Here is a 21505-nt window from a genome sequence, read left to right on the forward strand (position 1 = left end):
GTGAGAGGGCAAAGAAGGTGGGCCAGGCACAGGACCCAAGTCCACCTGAGAGAAGGACAGGGAAGGCTTCCTGGAGGAAGTGAATTGAGACCAGAAGACTTGACCAGAAAAGAGGAGGTGGTGACGTCAGGTTAGGGACCAGCTCCAGGGGAAGGGAGACTGGAAGGAGAGCCACAGCCTTCCCCTGACCTTCTGCCTGTAGATGGTTCCTGCCCTGGCTTCTCAGCTTAGAACTCACAGTCTCTGCTAGGGCCTGAGCTACGGCCTGGCCCTGGTAAAACTCACTCCACCATGCCCTCTCTGGAGGCCTGCTGTAAACACACTGACCACCTGCGCCCATGTCACTGCACCTGCCTGAGCCCTGTGGCAGCCCAGAGACTTGTACCATGGCCGCTTCCTGGCCCAGGGCAGGCTCAAGCTCCCTTGCCCTCATGGGCCCGTCAGAGGAGTCAAGGTCCAGGAGGCTGTGCTAACAGCCCCTGGCTGCAGAGCTGTTTGCCAACCTCCAGGCCAGCCAGGCCAGCACTGTAGCCGGGGGAGCGCCCAGCCCTGGCCTTCGTTCTGCAAAGCCCCATCCCAGCCTCGGTCCCAGGTTCTCGGTCTCTGGTCACGCTTGGGAAGCAGCTGCGGGCAGAAGTAGCCTTCAGAGACCTCAGGCTGCCCAGGCTAAGAGAATGATGGAACGGTGACCCTGGCTGGGGGCAGAGACCTGGGAGGGAGGCCGGAGAGCTGGGACAGCGCCTGGGGGTTGGGAGAGCTGCCCAGGCCTCCTCCGGGGTGAGCTGAGGAGGGGCTGCCATGCCTGGGAGGAGGGGGCCGGCTCCTCCTGCCTCGCCGGCCTGTCTGTCTCCAGCTCTTCACTGTAAAATAAATGCAAGAAGCACACGCCAGATAGAAAAAAAGGGAGGGCCAAATAAAGCCCCACGCCGCCCAGCACGGGCTCCCTCCGTGGGTCTGGGCCAGGGCCTCGGCCTGGGTTACTTGCTGCTCCTTTTCCCGGGAAACCACTGGTGCCAAATTTGCATTTACCACAAACAGAGACAACACAATGTCATAATCCTTCTCCTGTCATTCTCCGCTCTCTTCCTCCTCCCACCTCAGACACACACACGCTAACACAAAATGACGGCTCCCTCGACAGCCTGAATGAGCAAAGCCCTCGATCTGCCTCTTCATTGTTGGCGTTTCTCTCGGCCCTCGCTCCGTGCCCATCGCCCAACTCGCAGCAGACCACCCACTGCCCCTCCTTTGTCCCGCATCACCACTGACAAATGGCCTGCTGGAGGTGGAAGAACATGCCTGGAAATAGTGGAGGGGGGGAGAGGGAGCAGCCAGCCCCAACCCCCCGCCGCTCTGCACCCTCACACCCGGGCTGGCTGCGCACGGCGGCTGGATCTGGACCGGAGGGGACGGGGGCGCGGCTGGATCTGGACCGGAGGGGACGGGGGCGGGCACTCGGCCCCTGGGACTGTGACCCGGGGCCCTGCCCTTCACGCCCCTGCTGCTGCCGCGCTCCCCGAGCAGCCCCCTCGGGCCCCTCCTCTCCCGGCCACCCTCCTGGGCACTGCTCTGAACATCCCCCGCCTCCCCGCCCTCCATCGCTCTTTATGGCAGTTTCAAAGCTACAGCCGCCACTCGAGCAGCTGCGGCCTTTGATGGGGACAAGGCAGTAAAGGCCGCCCGGGAGGCCCCTGCCCAGCCCTGCCCTGGCCCGGCGCGGCCCCTGCCCGCCCCCGGGGAGCCTCGGGCCAGGGCAGCGCGGCGCGGCGGAGCACCCGGCGGGCACGCCTCGCACGCCAGAGCAAACTTTCACGACCGCGGGAGAGGCACCGCGCACACCGTTACCTTTGCAGCCGCATCCTTCCCTGGCCCTTGCCCCAGACCCCTTGCCAGCCCGGCGACCACGGGGGAGGAAAACAACTCCTGAGCCGAGGCGGGGGAGGAGGGGAAAGGGAAAAAAGGAGAAGGAAAAGGAAAGGGGGGCAGTTTCTCGGCTCTCAGCCTCCTCGCGGCTCCTCCTGCCCAAGCCGGCAAGTGAAGTCACAGGGCCGGGGCGGTGACATCAGCTGAGCCTCTGACATCACGGCCCCTGCCGATCTCACCTCTGCAGGGTGGAGATGGAGGAGCAGCGGGGAGGAGGGATGGATGGATGGAGGAGGGAGGGGAGCACCCGATCCCCCCTCGCCTTCAACTGCGGAGAGCGCGTGCCAGCGTGGAGGGGGGCAGGGGAGGGGCGGGCTCATCTGAAGAGTATGTCTTATCTCTATAGATAGGGGCGATTATGTGTCTATTTATAATTGGCCCCAGAGTAAATGGCTTAAAAGGGGCCAACGCCCACCACAGGTGAGAATCGCAGCTCACTGCTGTGCTTGGAGACTGTGGGGTAAAGGCAAGTGTGACCGTTCATAGAGCACCTACTGTGTGCTGGGGATTTGCACCCAGCACCTTAGGTGGTCGTCACGAGGACCAGAGAGGGCTGCATTTTACCTGGCAAGGCTCAGAAAGGGAAGGGCATCTCTGAGGCTGCAGAGCAGGAAGGTGAGCTGGGATGTGAGGCCAGCAAAGTGGCCCAGAGCCTGAAGGGCTAGCTGGGCAGCTCCAGGGCTAAAGCCTTCATGGGCCACTGGAGTGAGCCCTGGCTGCCCCCTACAAAGGTGGGCTTGGAAAGGGCAGGGCATGGCAGTCCCGACCACCTTTTGTCCCAAGTCCCATCTCAGGGAGGCCACAGCAAGAGGAGGCCTGGCCTGGGGTCCTGGCTCTGTTTCTCTGTGTACAACAGCAGCGTCCGTTCCGAGGGGCTGAGCACCTACTACCTGCAAGCCCAGCACAGGCGCTTCACACCCCCTTCCTACCCCATGGCAATGCCTGAGAGGTAAGCACCAACGCCCCGTGTCAAGATGGGGAAACCAAGGCCCAGGAAGCATTGGGACACAACAGAGACCCAAGTGTCCAGTGCCTGGACTCTGGGCCGTGGCCAGATCCTTGACCTGAGCCGCCTACTCCGTAGCTGTTCAAGCCATCCTTGGCCTGGTGGGGACTTCCCTGTCCAGTGTTCCAGCCTCTGCCCTCCAGTGAGAGGCCATGCACTTCACTCGGCCATGCTCGCTTCAGCCTGAGGCCCCTGGCCCAGGGCCCCTCCAGGCCCTGCTCTGCCTACTCCACGGCAGGGCCCTTCCCCTCTTCCCTGGTGCCACGGGGCAGCTGGGCTGCTGACCACTGGCTGCCCCAAACTTGGCACACGCCTGCCACTGAGCTTCTGTGCCTGGCACCTGGTGAGGGCCTACTAAGCGCCAGGTCCTGGTTATCTCATTTCATCCTTCCCATATCTAGGATGTCAGGGTTACAGGCAAGGACACAAGGCAGCTCCCACCGACTATAAAGTACTTCCATTCCTCCTGGCCCTTCCCTAATCCTGGAGCTAGTATTCCCGCCTCGGTCCTTGGGACCCCCTCCGAGCAGCGCACCAGTCCCTGCCCCTACCAAGGGCTGCGTCTGCATTTAGGACCTAACATGGTACAGAATCCACAGGAGGCATTCCGCAGCCCTTCTAGATAAACTACTACTCAAAGACTGCAACTGGAAATGCCAGTGAAGAAACCTAGAACAAACGCCTTCATTCTGTGCTCTTTGGTTTTTATTTTTATTTTATTTTATTATTATTTTATTTTTTTTGTAGGGATAGGGTCTCACTATGTTGCCTAAGCTGGTCTCGAACTCATGGGCTCAAGTGATCCTCCCACCTCAGCCATCCAAAGTGCTAGGATTAAAGGTGTGAGCCACCGCACCCAGTTCTTTAAACAAACCATGCTCTCTCTTGCCTCTGGGCCTTTGCACATGCTGTTCTCTCTCCTCCCCCTACTCCCACCACTTCCTGCGTTACATGAGGGTCTCGACTTAGACCTCACTTCCTCTGAGAAGCCTGACCCCCAAGTCCAAGTCAAATGCCACTTTCTATGCTTTTCCCCCATAGCAGCTCATATGCCGTGTCCTGTAAGGCAGGAAGAAATGGTGGAAAGGGGTAGGGACTCTGAGGCTGACTGCTCAAGTTCAAATCCTGGCTCCCCAACTCACTCACTGGGTGACCTTAGACAAGCCACTGACCCCTCTGAGCCTGCCTCACCCTATGTGAAGCTGACAGCGTAACAGCAGTGTCCCTTCAGAGGGTCTCAGCACAGTGCAGACCCTCGAAAGACCTCAGAGAACTGTACCTGTCCCCTCCCAGTGGGGCTTTGAGATTGGCCAAGGACATGGGTCTGTCATCCTCTGCCCCTTGTCCTCTGATCCACACAGTGCATACTCAAGAAATACGCCCTGAGGAACCTAGGCAGGGTTGACTGGAACAGTGAATTGAAGAACTGCAATTCAGTTTGGCAGGCACCTACATCAGGCTGTCTGGTTTTAAATCCTGGCTCCACCACTTCCTTCCTGTGTGACTGTGTGACCTTGAGTAAGTTCCTTCTTAGAGCCACACATGCTCCACCTGTAAAATGGGGATAAGAATAGGACCTACCTTATAAGGTTGCTATAAGATTACATGAGATAAGAGATACAAAATGCTTACAATGGCCTTTCTAAGCAAGAGCCGATCCCAGTTAGCGGCCAGCAAGATTACTTTATCTGATCAGGGTAATCAGAGCAAGGTGTCCAGAGGACAGAACACAGTCTGAGAGAGATGTGCTGTGGCAGTGGGAAGAAAGTGCGCTTCAGGGGATCAGAGACTAGGCTCCAAATAAGCTTGCCAAGCCTCAGTTTCCTCCTTTGAAGCAGGGTAACACTCTTTATGTCACTGAGATTTTGCGTGGGTAATTTCAGACAAGGAGTACAAATGTGCCTCCTCGTACCAGGCCAGGCACTTCGTAGATAAGGAATAGATGTGGGTTCCCATCAGTCCCTTGAACCGTGGAGGACGTGTGCACAATTATTCAATAACTTCTCACAAACACCCTAACATGAGTGAGGTGGGATCCCAGGCCAGGAGCAAAAGATGCAGAGAAGGGCCTTGAAAGGAGTACAGCTGGGAGTCGGCATCAGGAAAGGCTTCCTGGAGGAGGAGGTATGTAAGCTGGATCAGGATGGCTGGGGGGAAGGGAGGAGGGGGCAAATGCATGGATAGGAGGGTATGGGCACCCAACCCCAGAAGCAAAAAAGCACATTTCCAAGGCGACAACTCCCAGGCACATTTGGGTAGAGAGGACATGTTGCCTCTATTTGGGAGCACAGGTTTTTGGGAGCATGGTGGCTGAGCTAGAGGGCTCAGGGAGCACCACGCCTTTGTTCTGGACACATTATTGTTGGGGATGAAGGCCAACAAAGAAACCAGAACGTCTGAGCTGGGAGGAATGCTGGAATCATCTAGTTCAACCATTTCACAGATGAGCAAACTGAGGCCCAGAGAACGGAACTGAGTTACCCAGTCACACCACTAACAAAGAGCAGAGCTAGAGTTCCACTCCAGGCTGTCCAGTTCTAGAGCCTAGGCTTTTAACCAACATACTCTACTGCATCTCATCATAGCACAGATCCATCCCATCACGTATGCATGCATTCATTCAAGCAGGGCTGTGTGAGCTCTTACTGTTCCCGGCACTGAGGAGTCAGCAGTGAAAGCACAGCCAAGCCCAAGGAGCCCCACCTGCCTGTCCCTGACCCCTGCCACCTTGCACTGTGCCCAGCTGTTTCAGAGCTCAGTTGATCCTCCTGAAAAGCCCGGTTTCAAATTTAGCTGCTCAAGACCACAGACCATTCTACTGCTGGAAAACCACAAACCAGCCCCCTTTCAAAGGCCGTTACATTGCTTGCATGGGAAAGGGGGAGTAAAGACAATTGGTCCAGCATCCATTTCTGGGCGTGGTGAGTTGCATGGAAGTCTAAAGCCTCACTAGCCAAAAAAAAAGAAAAGAAAAGAAAAAAAAGTCCTGCAAATCAGATTTGGAAATGTTCAACAGACAGGGAGTGAAGCAATTGAGCGAAAAAGTGCAATGGTTGAATTCCTTCACCAGAAGAGCTTTCGGCAAGTCCAGCACCCTGGGCAAAGAGGAGGCAGGCCAGTTGTATGTGCTGGGCACCCTACAGAAAGCCCTCTTGAGCTCCCAGGAGAACAGGACCTTTTCCTATTAAGAGATCAGAGTGCTGGCCTGGCGTGGTGGCTCACTCCTGTAATCCCAGCATTCTGGGAGGCCAACGTGGGTGAATTACTTGAGGCCAGGAGTTCAAGACCAGCCTGGCCAACACGGTAAAACCCCGTCTACTAAAAATACAAAAATTAGCCAGGCATGGCCAGGCGCGGTGGCTCACGCCTGTAATCCCAGAACGTTGGGAGGCCGAGGCAGGCAGATCACGAGGTCAGGAAATCGAGACCATCCTGGCCAACATAGTGAAACCCTGTCTCAACTAAAATACAAAAAATTAGCCAGGCATGGTGGCACATGCCTGTAGTCCCAGCTACTCGGGAGGCTGAAGCAGAAGAATCGCTTAAACCCAGGAGGTGGAGGCTGCAGTGAGCTGAGATCATGCTACTGTACTCTAACCTGGCAATAGAGCAAGACTCCATCTCAGGAAAAAAAAAAAAAAAAAAAAGCCGGGCATGGTGGCGTGCCCCTGTAGTCCCAGCTACTCGTGAGATTGAGATGGGAGAATCACTTGAACCTGGGAGGGAGGCAGAGGTTGCAGTGAGCCGAGATCATGCCACTGTACTCCAGTCTGGGCAACAGGCTGTATTTTTGAGACCCTGTATCAAAAAAAAAAAAAAAAAAAAAAAAAAAAAAAGACAGAGAGCAGAGTGTCTGCTCTGTTCCTTGCCCATTACACTGTTCCACCCCAAAAGGCTGGCACAACGTTGCCATTCTACAGATAAGGAAACTGAGGCCCAGAGAAAGAAAGACTTGCCCAAGGGCAGTGCAGGCCTGGGCTGGCTCCAAAGACCACACTCCTCCCTCCACACTGCCACTTTGGTGCAAGCCTGGGCAGGCCTCATTCCTTCTCTGCACCTCGGTTTCCTTGCCCTTAAGTGAAGACACTGGGGAAGATCAGGAGGCTCCTTTCCAGCCCTGGCATTCAGTGCTTCCATCCAGTGAAGCAGTCAGGCGGGGGCCGATGACTGGGAGGAAGGCCAGACCAACAGATATTCCCCGACCCACATCACCACCAGTTTCACCTGGTCTCCACTGCTGCCCTAAGTTAGACTACAAAACAGCCCCAGAACAGCAGATCTTAAAACAGGCACCCGCTTTTCTCACTTGGACCTCCACTTCAGGGAAGTGAGGTATTTTTATACCCATTTTACAGATGGGGCCACCAGTGCTCTCTCCCTGCCACCACATCCCACCGACACACTCTGGGAGGTTCCGAACACCAGATCTGCCATTGCCCAAAGAGCAGAGACAAAGCAAGAGGAACTGGTGGCTGCTGAACTCAGGTTCTTAGTAGAATTATTAACAATAATCTTTAACATCTGCATAGCACAGAGCCACTCCTGGCTGTGCAAAATGCTCACAGCCTGTTTTCTCCTCCATGAAGTGGGAAAAATAATAGACTTTCCCCTGAGATGGCAAGGTAGGAATGATGCATCCTGTTCTACAGATGAAGAAACTGAGGCCCTGAAAGGTGGTGTAAAGTGTGCGGTGAAGCTGCAACTCCAATGTGGGTCTGTGACCCTGAACTTAGGCGGCTAAAGGGAGAGAAAGGCCTGAGAGAGGCGTCAGATGGGCTGAGATTCTGAACCACACACACTTTTATCTGCTGGCAGTCCGCCAATGGCTGCAAATAAGGGATGATCTGCCCACCTGAGGCCACCAGGAGCCTGCAGCCTGCCCCGGGCACAGCTGCCACCCTGGCAGACCCCCAAAGAGCGCCCCAAAGGATTGCCCCGCCCCCGAGCTTTTTCCCATTCCAAACATGCCAGAGCCCTGCGGACCCCGGAGGCTGCTACTTAGCGCCAGATTAATCACACCGAATTCTCCATCCAGATATTGCGTGCAGGCCGAACTCCCACCGCTAATCGCCGTAATATTCTCCTCGGCGTGTGCAGGCGGCCGGGGCGATGTTCCAGGAATATTAATTCTCCACAGCCGGCTCACTCCCGCCGCACGCATGCGCCCCCTGCACCGCCGGCTGCTGCTTGGGGAGCGGGGGTCAGCCAGGGGGACAAGGGCCAGCAGGAGGCAGGGCTGGGCCCCAATCCTTGCTGGGGGCCAGGGCCAGAGGTGGGCCAGAGCCTGCAGCAGGGCCTGCCCCCTTCATCCTGTCTCTTCTCCCAGTCCTGACCCCCAGTACCCTGCCCTAGGATGTGCAGGAGGCTCGGGGCCCCTGAGAAGCGGCCCAGCACAGGCCGTCTGATGTCCTCTCAACACAGCAGAGCTCCGAGGAACTGGCAGCCAGGGGCTAGCTAATCCCAGCCAAAACACACGGAATGAGAATCGTTCAGAATCTTTCATCTGCTCAAAATATAAAAACCCCAGTGAAGGGAGGCTGGGTCAGCTGTGGGTGTGACCAGGCCATGGAGCGGGCAGGCTGGGGGCACGTGGGAGGCCTCTGCTCCTGACCTTTGCTTAGCACAGGCAGGGGACCCTCTCCCCACAGTGTGGCCTGTGATATTAGAGCCAAGGGCAGGCTGGGAGGGAAAGGCTTCTGGTTTCTGGAGGGTACCAGAGGAGAAGGAGCGCGTGCCCCTGAGCCCACTCGCTGTGGCTGCAGCATACACCGCTGGGCCTGCCCCTTCAGCGTTGGTCGCTGGGCTAACACTAGGCCTGGGGATGAGGCTGGGATGAGATGCTGGCCTCAAGGACAATTCAAGGCAATTCAAGGACGAGGTCAGCCTCCCAGAGCACACAGGGGCCTTGGGGCAGGCCTGCTGCCCATCCTGGTCCACTGAAGACCCTAGAACAGTGCTGGGAGGACTCACATCTTCAGGGGCTTTGCAAAGCACCCCCTCTTACCTTACCTCGGTACAACCTCAGTACAACCATGAGAGGCAGCTTGAAAATGCCCATTTACAAATAAGGAAACTGAGGCATGGAGAGGTGAAGTAAGGGGTCCAGCCAGATCCGTCCCCAGGCTGCCAGGATCGGAACCTAGGGTCCTCTCCTCTGGACAGTGGAGCCTCACTCCATGCCCCATCCTTCCCGTCTCTGGGACTCCATCTCCTCTTCTCTGAACATTTTAAGGTCCTCCCAGTCCCCACAAACTGTCCAACAAACACAAGCATTTATTGAGTGCCTCCTGTGTGCCAGGGATCCAGAAATGCATGATGTTACTTAAGAAGCTCACAGTCTGGTGGAAAGGAAAGTAAGTAAACCAATGACCGCGGTCCAGCCTGAGCCCCAGGGGAGGGGCCCTCCCCACAGCCTTGGGGTTAGACAGGGCTTCCAGGAGGAAGCATTCCCTGAGGAGAGGGCAGTGTGTGGAGCGGCAAAGGAAGGGGATCTCCATACTAGAGTCTCGACCAGGGTAGACAGATGTGTGTCCTGAGCCCGCTGGAGGTCATAGGCCTCAGGGCTGCCCCTCGGCAAAGCAGCTGGACCGTCTGGACTATGAGCCCTGGGGCAGCAGCAGCAGTGCCTGTGCTGGGACCGCCTCTGGGAGATGTCATCTGCCAAGAGAGCAGTTTTCCTGATGGTGCATGCAGCAAAGGCAGCCCCTGCATGGGGAATCAGAGGAGAGCAAGAAGGGTGTGGCTGAGAGGGGAACAGATGGGGTGCTGGGCAGGACTGCTGTGGATCCAGGTGGATCCTGACCCGGCTGCCTGGCCTAGCCCAGGCTGGGCAAAGGTGGAGTCCTGGGGCCACAAGATGCCTAGGAGGGGCCTCTTGAGCCAGGGTCTCCTGATTCTGGTCCAGAGCACAGATACACACAAAGGCAGCCCAGCCTAAAGAAGCAAGCAGAAGGGCTAGCGTGAGGGGGTGGGGCCCTACCCAATTCCTTTCCAGCACAGATTAAGAGCATCCAAGTTGAAACCACAGATGTGAGGGAGGAAGGTCAGGCCCCTGGCTCCATGATCCTCCCTGACAACAGCCAGCACCTATTGTCTCCTGCCCCTGTGGACCTGAGGTCTCTGACCTGGGTAAAAGCAGGCACCTCTCACACACCACCCCTCGTATGAGACCCGTGAGCACTAATGGGGCCTCACTCCCATTTCTTAGATAAAGAAACTTAGCACAGCACCCATAGGCCCTCCTGTCATGCTGGGCTCTCTGCCCATAGTCTCACAGGGTATGGACGAGGGTCAGCACCCCCATTTTGCAAGAAGAAAGCTCACCCAGGTCCCACGGCGGTAGTAGGCAATACCTTACAGTTCCCAGGGTTGGGCCTGCGTGTTCCGTGTCCTGATCCGCTGAGGCCCCAGTGCTAAAATCAGGCCACGTGCACTAGGTCAAGGATGCCACAGAAGGAGCCCTTTCTGGCCTCATCCTGCCCTGCAGTCCCCAAACATGGTTCTGTGCCCTGGACTCACTTGACAGATGAGGAATCCGAGGCAGAGCTGGGACTCAGCTAGGACCCAGCACATACGCTGAGGATAGGGACATAACAAGGGCTCAGCCTGGCCCTCAATGAGGTAACATCCTGCGTGTCAACTGTAACCAAGGTAGGTTGTGAGATGCCAGAAGAGTGGGCAGCACGGTGGCCTGGATAAATCCCAGAAGGCATCCCAGAAGAGGGGGTGTTTAAGCAGGAACTTGGAGGACAAGGAGGCCTGTTTGAGCTGCAAAGCAGCACACACCTGGGACACAGGACCCCACGGCTAGGAAGACAAGGCTCGGATTGGATTCTCAGGCCTCTCTGCTCCCAGCCAGCCCCTCTGCGCCTCCAGGGCCGGCCGAGCACTAGCCCAGGCCCAGGAGAATCTACTGAATGACCGGGTCTCAGCTTGAGCGGCACAGACACATGGCTGGTGTGACCCTTCCACTGTCCCCAGCGCTGGATACTAGATCCCACATCCCCCTCCCACTCTGTCCTGCCCACCAGGAGTGGCGGGGTTTGAATTTCAGGAGCTGGGCCTCATAGGCAGGGCAGAAAGGCCAGGGAGTGGGGCCCAGCTCTGGGGCAAGGCAGGGCAGGATACAAAGCCCCGGGGCCAGCTCCCAGCAGGAGGCCTCCTGGCCAGGCCCAAGCCCAGGAGGAGGCCAAGTGTCCTTCCTTGGCACCTTCCCTAAAAGATTCAATAGTGTAGTGTTGGCCCCCCAGCCCCTCGAATAGGGGGAAGATCCAAGGTCAGACCCAGCTTCTCCACTCCTGGCTGACTCTGAGCAAACTGCCACCCTGCTCCAGCCCCAGTGTGCTCAACTGAAACAGGAGCTGGATACACCTGTCTTGCAAGGTTATTGCCAGGATTCAGAGTATTGTCCCTAGGTGGGTGCCAAACAAAAAGGGCAAAGGTCAGCTCATTCCCTAGGGCTCGGCATTCAGACAGACCCAGGGGAATAAAACCAGGTGGTTTCCTGGAGGTGGGAATTCCCATTTGACCTCCTTTATCCTGCATGACTACCTGGGGAGGGTGGTTCTCATTCCACAAATGAGAGTCTGAGGACAGCGGGGTGAGGGGGCTCAGCCAAGGTCACAGAGCTCCCAATCTCAGGTGTCCCTGCCTGACTCTGTAAGGGGGTATCTTCAGGCTATGGGAAGGGGAGGGTAGGGAGGAGGCCTGGGGCACCTTAACCAGCCCACTGGCCAACCCTAGCCTAAGGGCAGGCCTGGGGAGGCAAGAGGCTTAGCCCCCAGCTTGGAGTAAGAAAAGAATGCCCTCAGGCTGGGCGCGGTGGCTCAGGCCTGTAATCCCAGCACTTTGGGAGGCCAAGGCGGGCAGATCACGAGGTCAGGAGTTTGAGACCAGCCCGACCAACATGGTGAAACACCGTCTCTACTAACATTACAAAAATTAGCCGGGTGTGGTGGCATGAGCCTGTAATCCCAGCTACTCAGGAGGCTGAGGCAGGAGAATCGCTTGAACCCTGGAGCCGGAGGTTGCAGTGAGGCAAAACTGCACCACAGCACTCCACCCTGGGCCACAAAGGGAGACTCCGTCTCAAAGAACGCCCTCAGCTGCCCATGTCTCCATTTGGGCTCTCACAGGGGCTTGTTTTGAAAGCCAGGAAGTGATAGAGCCCTAGGACAGGAGCCAGGAAGAGCCTGGGAAGTGGGAACATCCCCGCAGGGCCAGCCTCACAGTGGGGAATCCTCCCTCCCCACACACACACCCGCCAGCCCGCTCCACCCCGGTCACATCCTGCCACTGCACCTGCAGTGCGGTGCATTAATAGAGCACAAACCCTGCGTGCACTACACTGGCAGGCACCTGCCAATCTCAGCCCGCGACCCCGCCCTAGCCCCCTCTCCCGGAGGACAGATAATTCTCTTGCTCTCCCAGCCTGACAAAATAACTAATGCTAACTCAATAAAGTTCCCCTTGAAGGTTTTTAATTACCAGACTGTGCTGAAGACTAAAGACTCCAGGAGCGGGAGGGAGGCCAGGGAAGGCTGCTGGGGGTCGGCGTGGCAGAGGCAGGGAAGTCACTGGCAGGCAGTGCTCCCAGGCGAGCAGGTTGGGAAAGGGCCCTCCCTCCCAGCTCCGGGAGAGGGCAGGGCCAGGCTGTTGCTGTCCAGGGTGCTGGGCCCAGCGGTCACAAGGATTTAGGACTCACATTTTCAACAGCGGCCACTGATGGAGGCCAGGCTAGGCTCCTGGCAGGGACTTGATGGAGATTATCTCATTTAGGCCTCACAGCCAACCACAAAGTAGACGCTGATGTCCCAACTCTGTAGATGAGGACAATGAGGCTCAGAGGTGGGCAGTGGCTTGCTGTGGTCACACACCACGCCTGGACTGTCCAACTGCAGCAGGTGCAGGCGGAGTGCCTGGCAGCCTGCAGAGGGGAATACACACCGGTGCTGTGGTTGGGTGGAGGGCCCTGGGGGACAGGGATGACCCTCAGATAGGATCCAAAGGTGCTTGATGGCTTCTGTGCAGGGAGACATGCTGGCGCTGGCAGGATTGAGGCTGCCCAAGGAAACCTACGCGCTGCCTAGAGGCAGGGGCCGCCTGGTTGGGCCCACCTGGAACACCACCAGCCATGGGCAAGGGACCTGAAGACCCAGTGATGAACCCCCACTGCCACTGAGGGAGATGACAGCGTGGGGGGCAGGGCACAGGAGGAGAGAGGGTGACACAGTCTGGTCCCTAAGCCTCCTAACCCCAGCCTGGGCCCTTCCTCCTTGATGGAGAGAGAAGACAGTAACATTTGAGGTGAAGCATACAGCTGCCCCTGCACCATAGCCACCCTAAACTCCTCTTTTGCTGCAGCCTCCCCACCCTCTGTGAGCCAGCCCTACCCTTTCAGCCCCATTCACTCCACACTCCCCACCGCTGGGCTGCCTTCTGGTCCTTCCCACCTGGCAAGCCTGCTGCTGCCTTGGGGCCTCTGCCCTGGCTGTCCCCCTCCCTGAGATGCTCCTCCCTTATGTTTTCTTTTCTTTTTTTTTTTTTTTTTTGAGACAGAGTTTTGCTCTTGTTGCCCGGGCTGGAGTGCAATGGCACAATCTCGGCTCACTGCAACCTCCGCCTCCCAGGTTCAAGCAATTCTCCTGCCTCAGCCTCCTGAGGAGCTGGGATTACAGGCAGGCACCACCACGCCCGGCTAATTTTGTATTTTTAGTAGAGACAGGGTTTCTCCATGTTGAGGCTAGTCTCGAACTCCTAACCTCAAGTGATCCACCCACCTCAGCCTCCCAAAGTGTTGGGATTACAGGCGTGAGCCACCGCGCCCGGCCTACTCCCTTATGTTTTCATACAACCAGCTCATGTCCTTCAGGCCAAAGCCTAAATGACACCTCCTCAGAGAAGCCTTCCTTGAACTCCCCACCTCAGCAGCAGAAATCCTGTGCAGCCTTCAGCCCCAACCCATATACCCATCCCCTCCTCCTCCAGGCAGGCTTTCCACACAGCGTGACCAGTTCCCACATGGTACAGGCTGCCCTCCACAAGACCCTGGGCATCACTGAGGGCATGGACTTTGAAGCCAGCAAGCTGGGGTTCCAATCTTGCCTTCCCCGTTTTCTAGCTATAGATGGATCTGTTTCCTCATCCGTAAAATGGGGGTAAGAACAGTCCTTAGCCCATCTGAGTTTTGTGAGGACTACCGAGTGAAGATGTGTCAGGACTTAGACCCCTGCCTGGCAGGTGAGTGCTTGGCAGTGCAGGATCACCATCATGACCACCATCATCATCTTCAGCAGCAGCCTGGCCTCCCCGAGCCAGGCCTCAGCGAACGGGATGCTGTGTCCTTGACCCCCAGCACAGGCCCTGGACACATGGACACTCAGCAAGTACTGGCTCAGTGTCTGACCCTGTGAGACAGGCCTGAGGATGTGAACAGCTCCCACTGCCCTGGCTGCACTCTTTGCTGCTGCTTTGCAAACCTGCAACGGCGCCAACTTGGGGGTGGTGCCGAGAGCCAGTGCAGCTGTGCCCGGCTCCCCAAGGGCCATGAGGGGCAGTTGGAGGCCCCAACACCCAGCCCTGCCTGGAGTCTCCTGGCCGGGATCACAGCCCTGCGGCGTTCGAGCTGCTGCCCACCAGCCGGCCCCCTGGCATTGGGCCCGGGATGCCAGCCAGCCAGAGAGGAAGCAGCTTGGCTGGCAGCCAGCTCACAGTGCCCGAGCTGTCAGCCGGGAGGCAGGCCAGGCAGGGCTGAGACCCCCACCCCCAAACAGGGCTCCAGCCAGGCAGTGCGACAGGGCCAAGTTTCTCCTCACCACCCGAGCCACAAGGGGGCCCTGCTGATGCCAGCCCCAAGCAGGGCTCAGGGATGTAATCACGCTGCAGGGGGACCCAGGAGGCCCCGTCGCCATTTATTCAGCTCAGCTTTTCGCGAATGAGAAAGCAGCACGAGGAGCAGGGGGAGATTTTCAAGTCAAATAACAGTAAAAACAGCAGCAACTACAGCTGACACTCAGCAAGCACTCACTCCATGCCAGGTGCTCCATGCACTCCGGCACTGACATCTCTCCAAAGGAAGGTGCTATAGTTAAACCCACTCTACAGATGTGGCAACTGAGTTCAGAGAGGTGCAGTAACCCACCCAGAACCACACAGCAAACTGGAGAAGTCAGTTTAAACTTGGGCCCCAGAACCTGTGTCCCAACCCCTATGCACTACTGGTTCAGGCAGGCCTCAGTGCCCATACCCACAATGGATGGCCCAGCTGGGCGACCTTGGGCAAGGAGGCTGCCCATCTGGAAAATGGGCATGATCAGAGAGGGCTACGCTGTAGAACTGACCAGGGGGCTGAAAAAAGAAAAACAGGTGAGGAGCTACTTCCTGTCCCCTGCCAGGCCTGAGCAGAGGTCAGACTCCCTAGCTGGCTTAAGGGTTGGTCATATTCATGGAGCGGCAAGAATGAGGAGTGGGTCCTCATTTGCATTAGACGGTAAATCTAAGGACACTGGTTGTGCCTTCTTTTTACCAGCAACAAGAACTCATCAGAGCCCCTCCCAACCTTCTCCCATCCCCCACTGCCTCCTGAGCACCCTCCAAGGGCACAGCTGGGTGAGCCCCATGGCTGGGCTGGAGGGGCCAGACACTGGGGAGGGGCAGTTCACAGGGTCAGCCATGAAAGCCCATGATCCCTGAGCCTCGAGCTCAGCCCCCAGGAGCTTCCCCTTCATAACCTCTTCTCCCAACCCAGACCAGGCAGACTTAGGAAATACTGGCCAGAGAGAATCTTGAGCCACACAATTCAGACAAATGTGTGTGGACTCCCCTCTTGCCCCACAAACCACAACAGAAGGCCTCGGGTCGCATCCCCCCACCAGCTGGGGCCCCTGTCAGGCAGGGCCCAGCATTCCTGGCTGATGGTGAGGAGATGAGACCCAGGGTGGAAGGAACACATGGAGGGTTCACAGCAGGGCTCCTCTCTGGCACCCATGCAGAGCAGGCAAGGATGAACATGTGCTGGTTTCAGGGCTGGGCCTGGGGGTGCAAAGGTGACCGCTCAGCCCAGCTGCTCACATCTGTACAAAGTGGTGGGGCTTTTCAGCATCTGTCTTCTCAATAGACTCAAAGCAAACCCATGGGAGAGAAGGCATCACCACTGTCTCCATTTCTCACATGTCCTGAGAGGGCCAGTGACTTGCCCAAAGTCACACAGCTGATCAGGGCACAAATCCCAGGGCCCTGGTGCTCCTATCACCAGATTCCCTAGCCCGGAGGAGGGCTGAGCCCTCAGCCAGAGCCAAGGCTCAGCTTCCAGCGACTCATCCAAGAACTGAGATGGAGCAGGGGATGAGTGAGGACAGGCAGGGTTTGACATCAGCGGAGGTGCTCCTGGAGAGAGGGTAGGTGAAGGTGGGCACATGGGCGATTGACCCAAAGGGCCGACTGTTGTTGGGGCACCCATTGGGTGTGGAAGGCGACAGCAGCTGCTGCTGAGAAGTTATTCTAGGGAGACAGGAGTAGTGTCACTATGGTTTCAAGGAGGAAAACAAGGCACATGCCGGGGTGGTGACTCCAGGGCCGAAGCCTCCTTGGCTATCACTGAAGACCATCCTGCCCAGAACCCCGAAGCAGAAGGCCTGGGTCCCAGCCCTGCTGTCAAGTCTCGGCACTTCCCTGAGCCTGGGCTCTTCATCTTTGCACGGATGGTGCTGGGGGAGGGGGCAGTGGGACAGGCAACACTCTCACATCCCCTGTGGATAGCTGGGCACATAGTAGGCCTACCAGCTGGCATGGTCGCAAGTTTGCCCTAATTTCATCTATCTCTGCACTTGCCTTTTGTGGGGACACCCACCTAGATGACAAATTTGACCAAAGAAACCACAGCAGGGATGGGCCAGAGCCTGGAGGCCAGAGCAGCAGGCAGTCCCCTCCCCACCAGGCCTTCCCCAGGACAGTCCAGAACCAGCGTGCCCAATGCCCCGGCCTCCAGGAGCCATCCCTGCCTCAAGTCGGGGGAGGACGAGAGGGCCCAGGGCAGGGAGGGGCCGGGCACCACGGCCAGCACAGAGGAGGCACCCACTGGTGTGTCCTCAGCCTTAGAAGCTGTGGACCAACTGAAACAGAGAATAACCATGGCAGTGATGGGTGGGCTCCAAGGGTTCCCACACCCACCGCCTGCCCAGACCCCTGCTGTGGAGGGGAACGGAGACCTGGAGGGGTACCCCCAAAAATCTGGACTTGGCCCTGCAGGCTTCTCTGGCCTTTAGAAGGCACGGGAGGATGGGGGCAAGGGGGCGGTAGGCAGACAGCAAGAGCAACCAGTGAGCCCAGAGGACAATCACAGGGAGGACGGCGGCAAGGAGGTGAGGCCATGTCTGGCTGGGGGTGCAGGAACTGAGGGTCCTTCCCAGCCCCTCTCCCCACATCCAGCCCCCTGCTCTGGCACTCTCTCCATCTGCCTCTCACACAGTCCTTACCTTGCTCTCCCTCCCCATGGACTCTCTCTCCCATCTCCCCTCCCCACTCCTAGCCAACCTCCAATGCCCTGGGGCCTCAATTTCCCCCAGGACAAAGGGGCCTCAAGGCCTCATGAACAGAACATGCTGGCAGTGGTGGGTCACCCAGGAACCCCGAGGAACTGGAATGGGGGTGGAGGGGAATCACATGTCCCACTGGTCACCAGTCCCTCTTGCCTTTCTGTCCCAGCTAGCAGCTCTCCAACCTCTGTACCTCTCCCCGAACGCAGGCCCCCCTGCCCGCACCCCAACACTTCAAGACCTCCTAGGAGTGACCTGGCTGGGGTCTCTCTAGGTCAGGTAATTAATAGCAGGAGGGAAGTGCAATTAGCAGGTACCTGGAGTGGGGTCGGTAAGAGAGAATAGCAGAGGAGGAGGAAGTGGTGGGGATGGGGGAGGGGAAGAGAGAAGGGGGAGAAGGAAGCGGAGGGGAGGAGGGAGGAGGGAAAAGACAGAAAGGGGTAGAAGGGAAGCTTGGAGCGGGTGGAGGAGGAGGGGGAAAGGGAGCAGAGGAAGAAAGGAGAGGAGGGGAAGGAAGGGCGGGGAGGGGGAGGGGGAGGGGCGCGCTGAAATCACCCGCAACATCAAAGCCTTCCCCAGCCGCAAAGCAGTCACGTGCAGCCTGGTTCCTTTCGTTCCTTCGTTCCTTCGCTGGTAGAAGCCGCTGGGCCTGGGGCTGCTGAAGGAATTTTAAAACGAGGCAGATTGTCTGGAATATCAGGGGGTTAGGGGAATGCGGTTTTATCTCAAGGCAGGGTAAGGGGAGGCAGGTTTTGAAACCTGTTCCCCCAAGGAGAGCGGCAGGGCTTTGGGGCCTCTGCTAGGAGGCTGGGCAGGTGGCCAAGAGTGAAGACCACCCAGCTACTCCTGCCGGTGAGAGCTCGTGGCTGGGCCAGCCCAGATATCAACAGAAGCCAGAAATCTAGATTTGTATGTGAAAACTTCCCTGTTTTAATTTTGGCTCAAACTAAAAAAAAAAAGAAAAAAAGCGCCACATGGGCCAAATAGAGCATGTCCTGACTGGGGCCCAGAACCTCGGTCACCTCCCACTTCTGATGGTGGGCAGCAACGCTTTTGTTTCCCAGGGGGCACTGAGGCCCAGGAAGGGAAAGGCACTTGTTCAGGGACACACACAGTGAGTGCTCAAGGGGTGCGGGCTAAGACTTGGGGTCTCAGGACTCCCATGCCTGAAGCCTCCTGCGGTCAGCAGCCCAAGGGGCAGGGCTGTGGCTGCTGGGAAAGGGAAGTATAGGGAGGTTAGTGGCAGGGGAGGGTCTCAGAAAACCCCTCGTCCAGCCCAGGGCCAACACACTCAGCCCCACTCATCACCCTGATGACTAACCCAGGCCTGCCTCTCTGCCTTTGCCTCTGCTCAGCCCATCCTCCCTATCCACTCCTGACATTCCCTCCTCCCCCTGCCAAGACCTGGGCAGCTTCCCCTCCCCCGAGCCCCACCTGCAGAATGCACCATGCATTCAACCATTCATTCTTCTGTTGCTCCCCAAGGCCCTGAGTCAGCCTTAACCCCACCTTCAGAGGCCAGGACAGGGGAGGGTGTTTAGGATAGAGAGGTGTGGCCTCCAAGGAGGAAGCAGCTACCTCTGTAGGGTGGCGGTAGGGGAGTCTCCCCAAAGGAAGGTCCTAGGGCAGAGCATGGCATCTGCACTTACCAGGGTGGAGGTGTAAATGGCTGCTGGAAGCCAGAGGCAAGGCTGGGAGGAGGTGGATGTGGGGGTTCAGAAATGCGGAAGTTTATCTTGCGGGCACTAGGGAGCCGTTGGAGGTGTGTAAGCAGGAGAGAGGTCGGCTCAGATCTTCACTATGGGGCTGTCAGGACAAGGCGAGGATGGAGTCATTCATAGGTTCAACAAGTGTTTGCTGAGCACTTACTCTGTGCCACGCCCCAGGGAGACAGAGGAGAGCCAGACAGACAAGGCGTGCACCTTGGGGAGACAGACGTGACCACACAACCACCACCACAGGGTGAGGGGGCTATGGTGGGGGCTGGACTGGGTAAGGCACGTGGCCTGGTCCCTCCAAAGAGGAATCCACCTGCAAGGTGAGGACAGGAGGGGACACTGTTCCCAGCCAAGGAGGTGGCATGCACACAGGCCCAGAGGTGGAGAAAGCAGGGCTTCCTAAGTCAAAGTGATTCGACAGGCGGAGGTGTCTGCAAGAGCCATGCCAAAGGTGACAGAGCTCCCTGGCGTAGCTCCAGGGCAATGGAAACCTTTGGGAGGGGTCTGGGAGCAGCAAGGGAGGGAAGGTGGGAAGCAATGTTTGCAGGCTGGGGAGACCTGGCTGCGTCCCTTGGCTCCCTGAAGTCTGTCGTGGGGAACAGGGGACTCCCTTTCTCACTGCCAGCGGGCAAAACCCGAGCAGATGGGCAGCCATTCCCCTGGTAGATTTCAGTTCTCCGAGGAGGAGCACTCCAGTGCACAGCCGCTTGGCTGGACGGCCACGGGGGCTGGTGTGAGCAAGACTCAGGGCCGGCAGGCCTGGATTCCGGGCCCAGGGCTCGCAAGTACAGCTGGACGACCTCAGGCAGGTCCCTCAACCTAAGCCCCCAGAGGAAAGGCCTCTTGGAGGAGCTGGGAGAGAACCCCCTGATGGGTCTGCATGGCACAGACCCACCTCTTAGCCCAGAGCAAGAGCCGGCAAAGGAGGGACAGCTAATGGGACAGGAGGCAAAGGGGCCAGTCTGGGAGAGCTGAGGGGCCCCTCACTGGGCAGGTGCCTTGATGCTGCCTTAAGGGCACTATCGGGTGTTGAGTCCCCTTCTCCAGATGGGGAAACTGAGACCGGGGCTCCCACAACAGTCAGGACTGACACTAGATGGCACTCAGGCTGGTGGTGGCTGCAGCTGGGGGTCTCTAGGACAAAAGAGACGGTCTCTGTGGGGACCCATAGAGTGGGCAGCCTTCTCTCTCAATTCCAGCCATGGACAGCAAAGGGCGGGGGCTGAGCGTACAGAGGCAGCCTTGGTGGGGGAGGTGAGAGGCACGTTCCTCTACCCTCAAAGAGCTCCCACCCCACCCACTGGCCTCCAAGCCATGCAGGGAGGCCACTAGCCATGCCCCTTTCACAGAGGAAGAAACCAAGGCCAGGAGAGGAGGCTTTGCCAAGGTCACCAGCCAGTGGAAGGCAAAGACAGAGACCGGCCTCTTTCATCCCTGTCCTTGCTTGGTGGGATTCCTGGATGTCTCACATGGTGGGGCCAGGGCAGGGAGAAGGAGGAAAGAAAGAAGGAAGAACAGAAACAGGCACTGGCCATGACCCTGCCCTGCAGGACTTATCCAGAACCCCCCACCCACTACACTCAAATCACAGACCACCCAGCACCTCCCATCCTGTAGTTCCGGAACAATTTCTTTACCCAAATGTGTGCCCCACGCCTGGGTGCAACTTCAGGCTGGGACCCCGTCAGGTTCAACCAGAGCCTCCAGCCCTGGCACACGGCACGGGTTTAATAGATGCTGGGGTGACTATTCATGGAAACCACCACCACAGCCATTTATTGTTTTTTTGAGACAGAGCCTCGCTCTGTTGCCCAGGCTGGAGTGCAGTGGCACAATCTCCGCTCACTGCAACCTCCGCCTCCCGGGTTCAAGCAATCCTCCTGCCTCAGCCTCCCAGGTAGCTGGGATTACGGGTGCCCAACACAACGCTCGGATAATTTTTGTATTTTTAGTAGCGACGGGGTTTCACCATGTTGGCCAGGCTGGTCTCAAACTCCTGACCTCATGTGATCTACCTGCCTTGGCCTTCCAAAGTGCTGGGATTACAGGCGTGAGCCACCATGCCAGGCCAAGCAACCATCTACTGGATGTCCCCTTGTGCCAGGTTCTGCCATGCATCATCTTATTTAGTCTTCACCACGCGTACCGAGGAGCTGAGGGGTATCCACACTATCGTGCAGAGGAGACCGAGGCTCAGAGAGGTCCGGCTCAGGCCCTTGCCCCAGATCAGACAGAAACGGCTCATCCTAGTGGACACTCCGAGCGTTCGCTCGGTGCAGGGCAGGGATCCAGGCACTCTGCAGTCGAGCTCTGTAACCTGCACAACA

The 21505-nt window shown here is 57.7% G+C and overlaps 1 protein-coding gene across 3 annotated transcripts in view, besides 11 other annotated features; it reads right to left on the bottom strand.

Moving 5' to 3' along the window:
* Positions 1-21505, bottom strand: part of TCF20 (transcription factor 20) — a 183525-nt gene that overhangs the window by 121969 nt on the left and 40051 nt on the right. Inside the window, exon 1 of one of the 3 annotated variants that reach the window (NM_005650.4) lies at positions 1846-1946. The exons of the other annotated variants lie outside the window; for them this stretch is intronic. The gene's annotated coding sequence lies outside the window, so the exon portion shown is untranslated. Of the gene's footprint in view, positions 1-1845; positions 1947-21505 lie in introns of those variants that run through there. 3 annotated transcript variants of the gene reach the window in all.
* Positions 237-1087: an enhancer, noted in NCBI's record as "H3K27ac-H3K4me1 hESC enhancer chr22:42678224-42679074 (GRCh37/hg19 assembly coordinates)". NCBI's record gives its function as "activates a minimal SCP1, AML or CMV promoter by ChIP-STARR-seq in naive H9 embryonic stem cells {active_cell/tissue: H9 hESC(naive)}" and the evidence as "EXISTENCE:reporter gene assay evidence [ECO:0000049][PMID:30033119]".
* Positions 1088-1937: an enhancer, noted in NCBI's record as "H3K27ac-H3K4me1 hESC enhancer chr22:42679075-42679924 (GRCh37/hg19 assembly coordinates)". NCBI's record gives its function as "activates a minimal SCP1, AML or CMV promoter by ChIP-STARR-seq in naive H9 embryonic stem cells {active_cell/tissue: H9 hESC(naive)}" and the evidence as "EXISTENCE:reporter gene assay evidence [ECO:0000049][PMID:30033119]".
* Positions 12652-13465: an enhancer, noted in NCBI's record as "H3K4me1 hESC enhancer chr22:42690639-42691452 (GRCh37/hg19 assembly coordinates)". NCBI's record gives its function as "activates a minimal SCP1, AML or CMV promoter by ChIP-STARR-seq in naive H9 embryonic stem cells {active_cell/tissue: H9 hESC(naive)}" and the evidence as "EXISTENCE:reporter gene assay evidence [ECO:0000049][PMID:30033119]".
* Positions 15780-16425: an enhancer, noted in NCBI's record as "H3K4me1 hESC enhancer chr22:42693767-42694412 (GRCh37/hg19 assembly coordinates)". NCBI's record gives its function as "activates a minimal SCP1, AML or CMV promoter by ChIP-STARR-seq in naive H9 embryonic stem cells {active_cell/tissue: H9 hESC(naive)}" and the evidence as "EXISTENCE:reporter gene assay evidence [ECO:0000049][PMID:30033119]".
* Positions 17799-18477: an enhancer, noted in NCBI's record as "H3K27ac-H3K4me1 hESC enhancer chr22:42695786-42696464 (GRCh37/hg19 assembly coordinates)". NCBI's record gives its function as "activates a minimal SCP1, AML or CMV promoter by ChIP-STARR-seq in primed H9 embryonic stem cells {active_cell/tissue: H9 hESC(primed)}" and the evidence as "EXISTENCE:reporter gene assay evidence [ECO:0000049][PMID:30033119]".
* Positions 17799-18566: a biological region, named in NCBI's record as "H3K27ac-H3K4me1 hESC enhancer GRCh37_chr22:42695786-42696464".
* Positions 18337-18566: an enhancer, noted in NCBI's record as "active region_19157". NCBI's record gives its function as "activates an Ori minimal core promoter by ATAC-STARR-seq in GM12878 lymphoblastoid cells {active_cell/tissue: GM12878}" and the evidence as "EXISTENCE:reporter gene assay evidence [ECO:0000049][PMID:35858748]".
* Positions 18478-19156: an enhancer, noted in NCBI's record as "H3K27ac-H3K4me1 hESC enhancer chr22:42696465-42697143 (GRCh37/hg19 assembly coordinates)". NCBI's record gives its function as "activates a minimal SCP1, AML or CMV promoter by ChIP-STARR-seq in naive H9 embryonic stem cells {active_cell/tissue: H9 hESC(naive)}" and the evidence as "EXISTENCE:reporter gene assay evidence [ECO:0000049][PMID:30033119]".
* Positions 19157-19835: an enhancer, noted in NCBI's record as "H3K4me1 hESC enhancer chr22:42697144-42697822 (GRCh37/hg19 assembly coordinates)". NCBI's record gives its function as "activates a minimal SCP1, AML or CMV promoter by ChIP-STARR-seq in naive H9 embryonic stem cells {active_cell/tissue: H9 hESC(naive)}" and the evidence as "EXISTENCE:reporter gene assay evidence [ECO:0000049][PMID:30033119]".
* Positions 19237-19346: an enhancer, noted in NCBI's record as "active region_19158". NCBI's record gives its function as "activates an Ori minimal core promoter by ATAC-STARR-seq in GM12878 lymphoblastoid cells {active_cell/tissue: GM12878}" and the evidence as "EXISTENCE:reporter gene assay evidence [ECO:0000049][PMID:35858748]".
* Positions 19357-19406: an enhancer, noted in NCBI's record as "active region_19159". NCBI's record gives its function as "activates an Ori minimal core promoter by ATAC-STARR-seq in GM12878 lymphoblastoid cells {active_cell/tissue: GM12878}" and the evidence as "EXISTENCE:reporter gene assay evidence [ECO:0000049][PMID:35858748]".

Source organism: Homo sapiens, chromosome 22 (assembly GCF_000001405.40).
Source record: "Homo sapiens chromosome 22, GRCh38.p14 Primary Assembly".
NCBI classification, from domain to species: domain Eukaryota; kingdom Metazoa; phylum Chordata; class Mammalia; order Primates; family Hominidae; genus Homo; species Homo sapiens.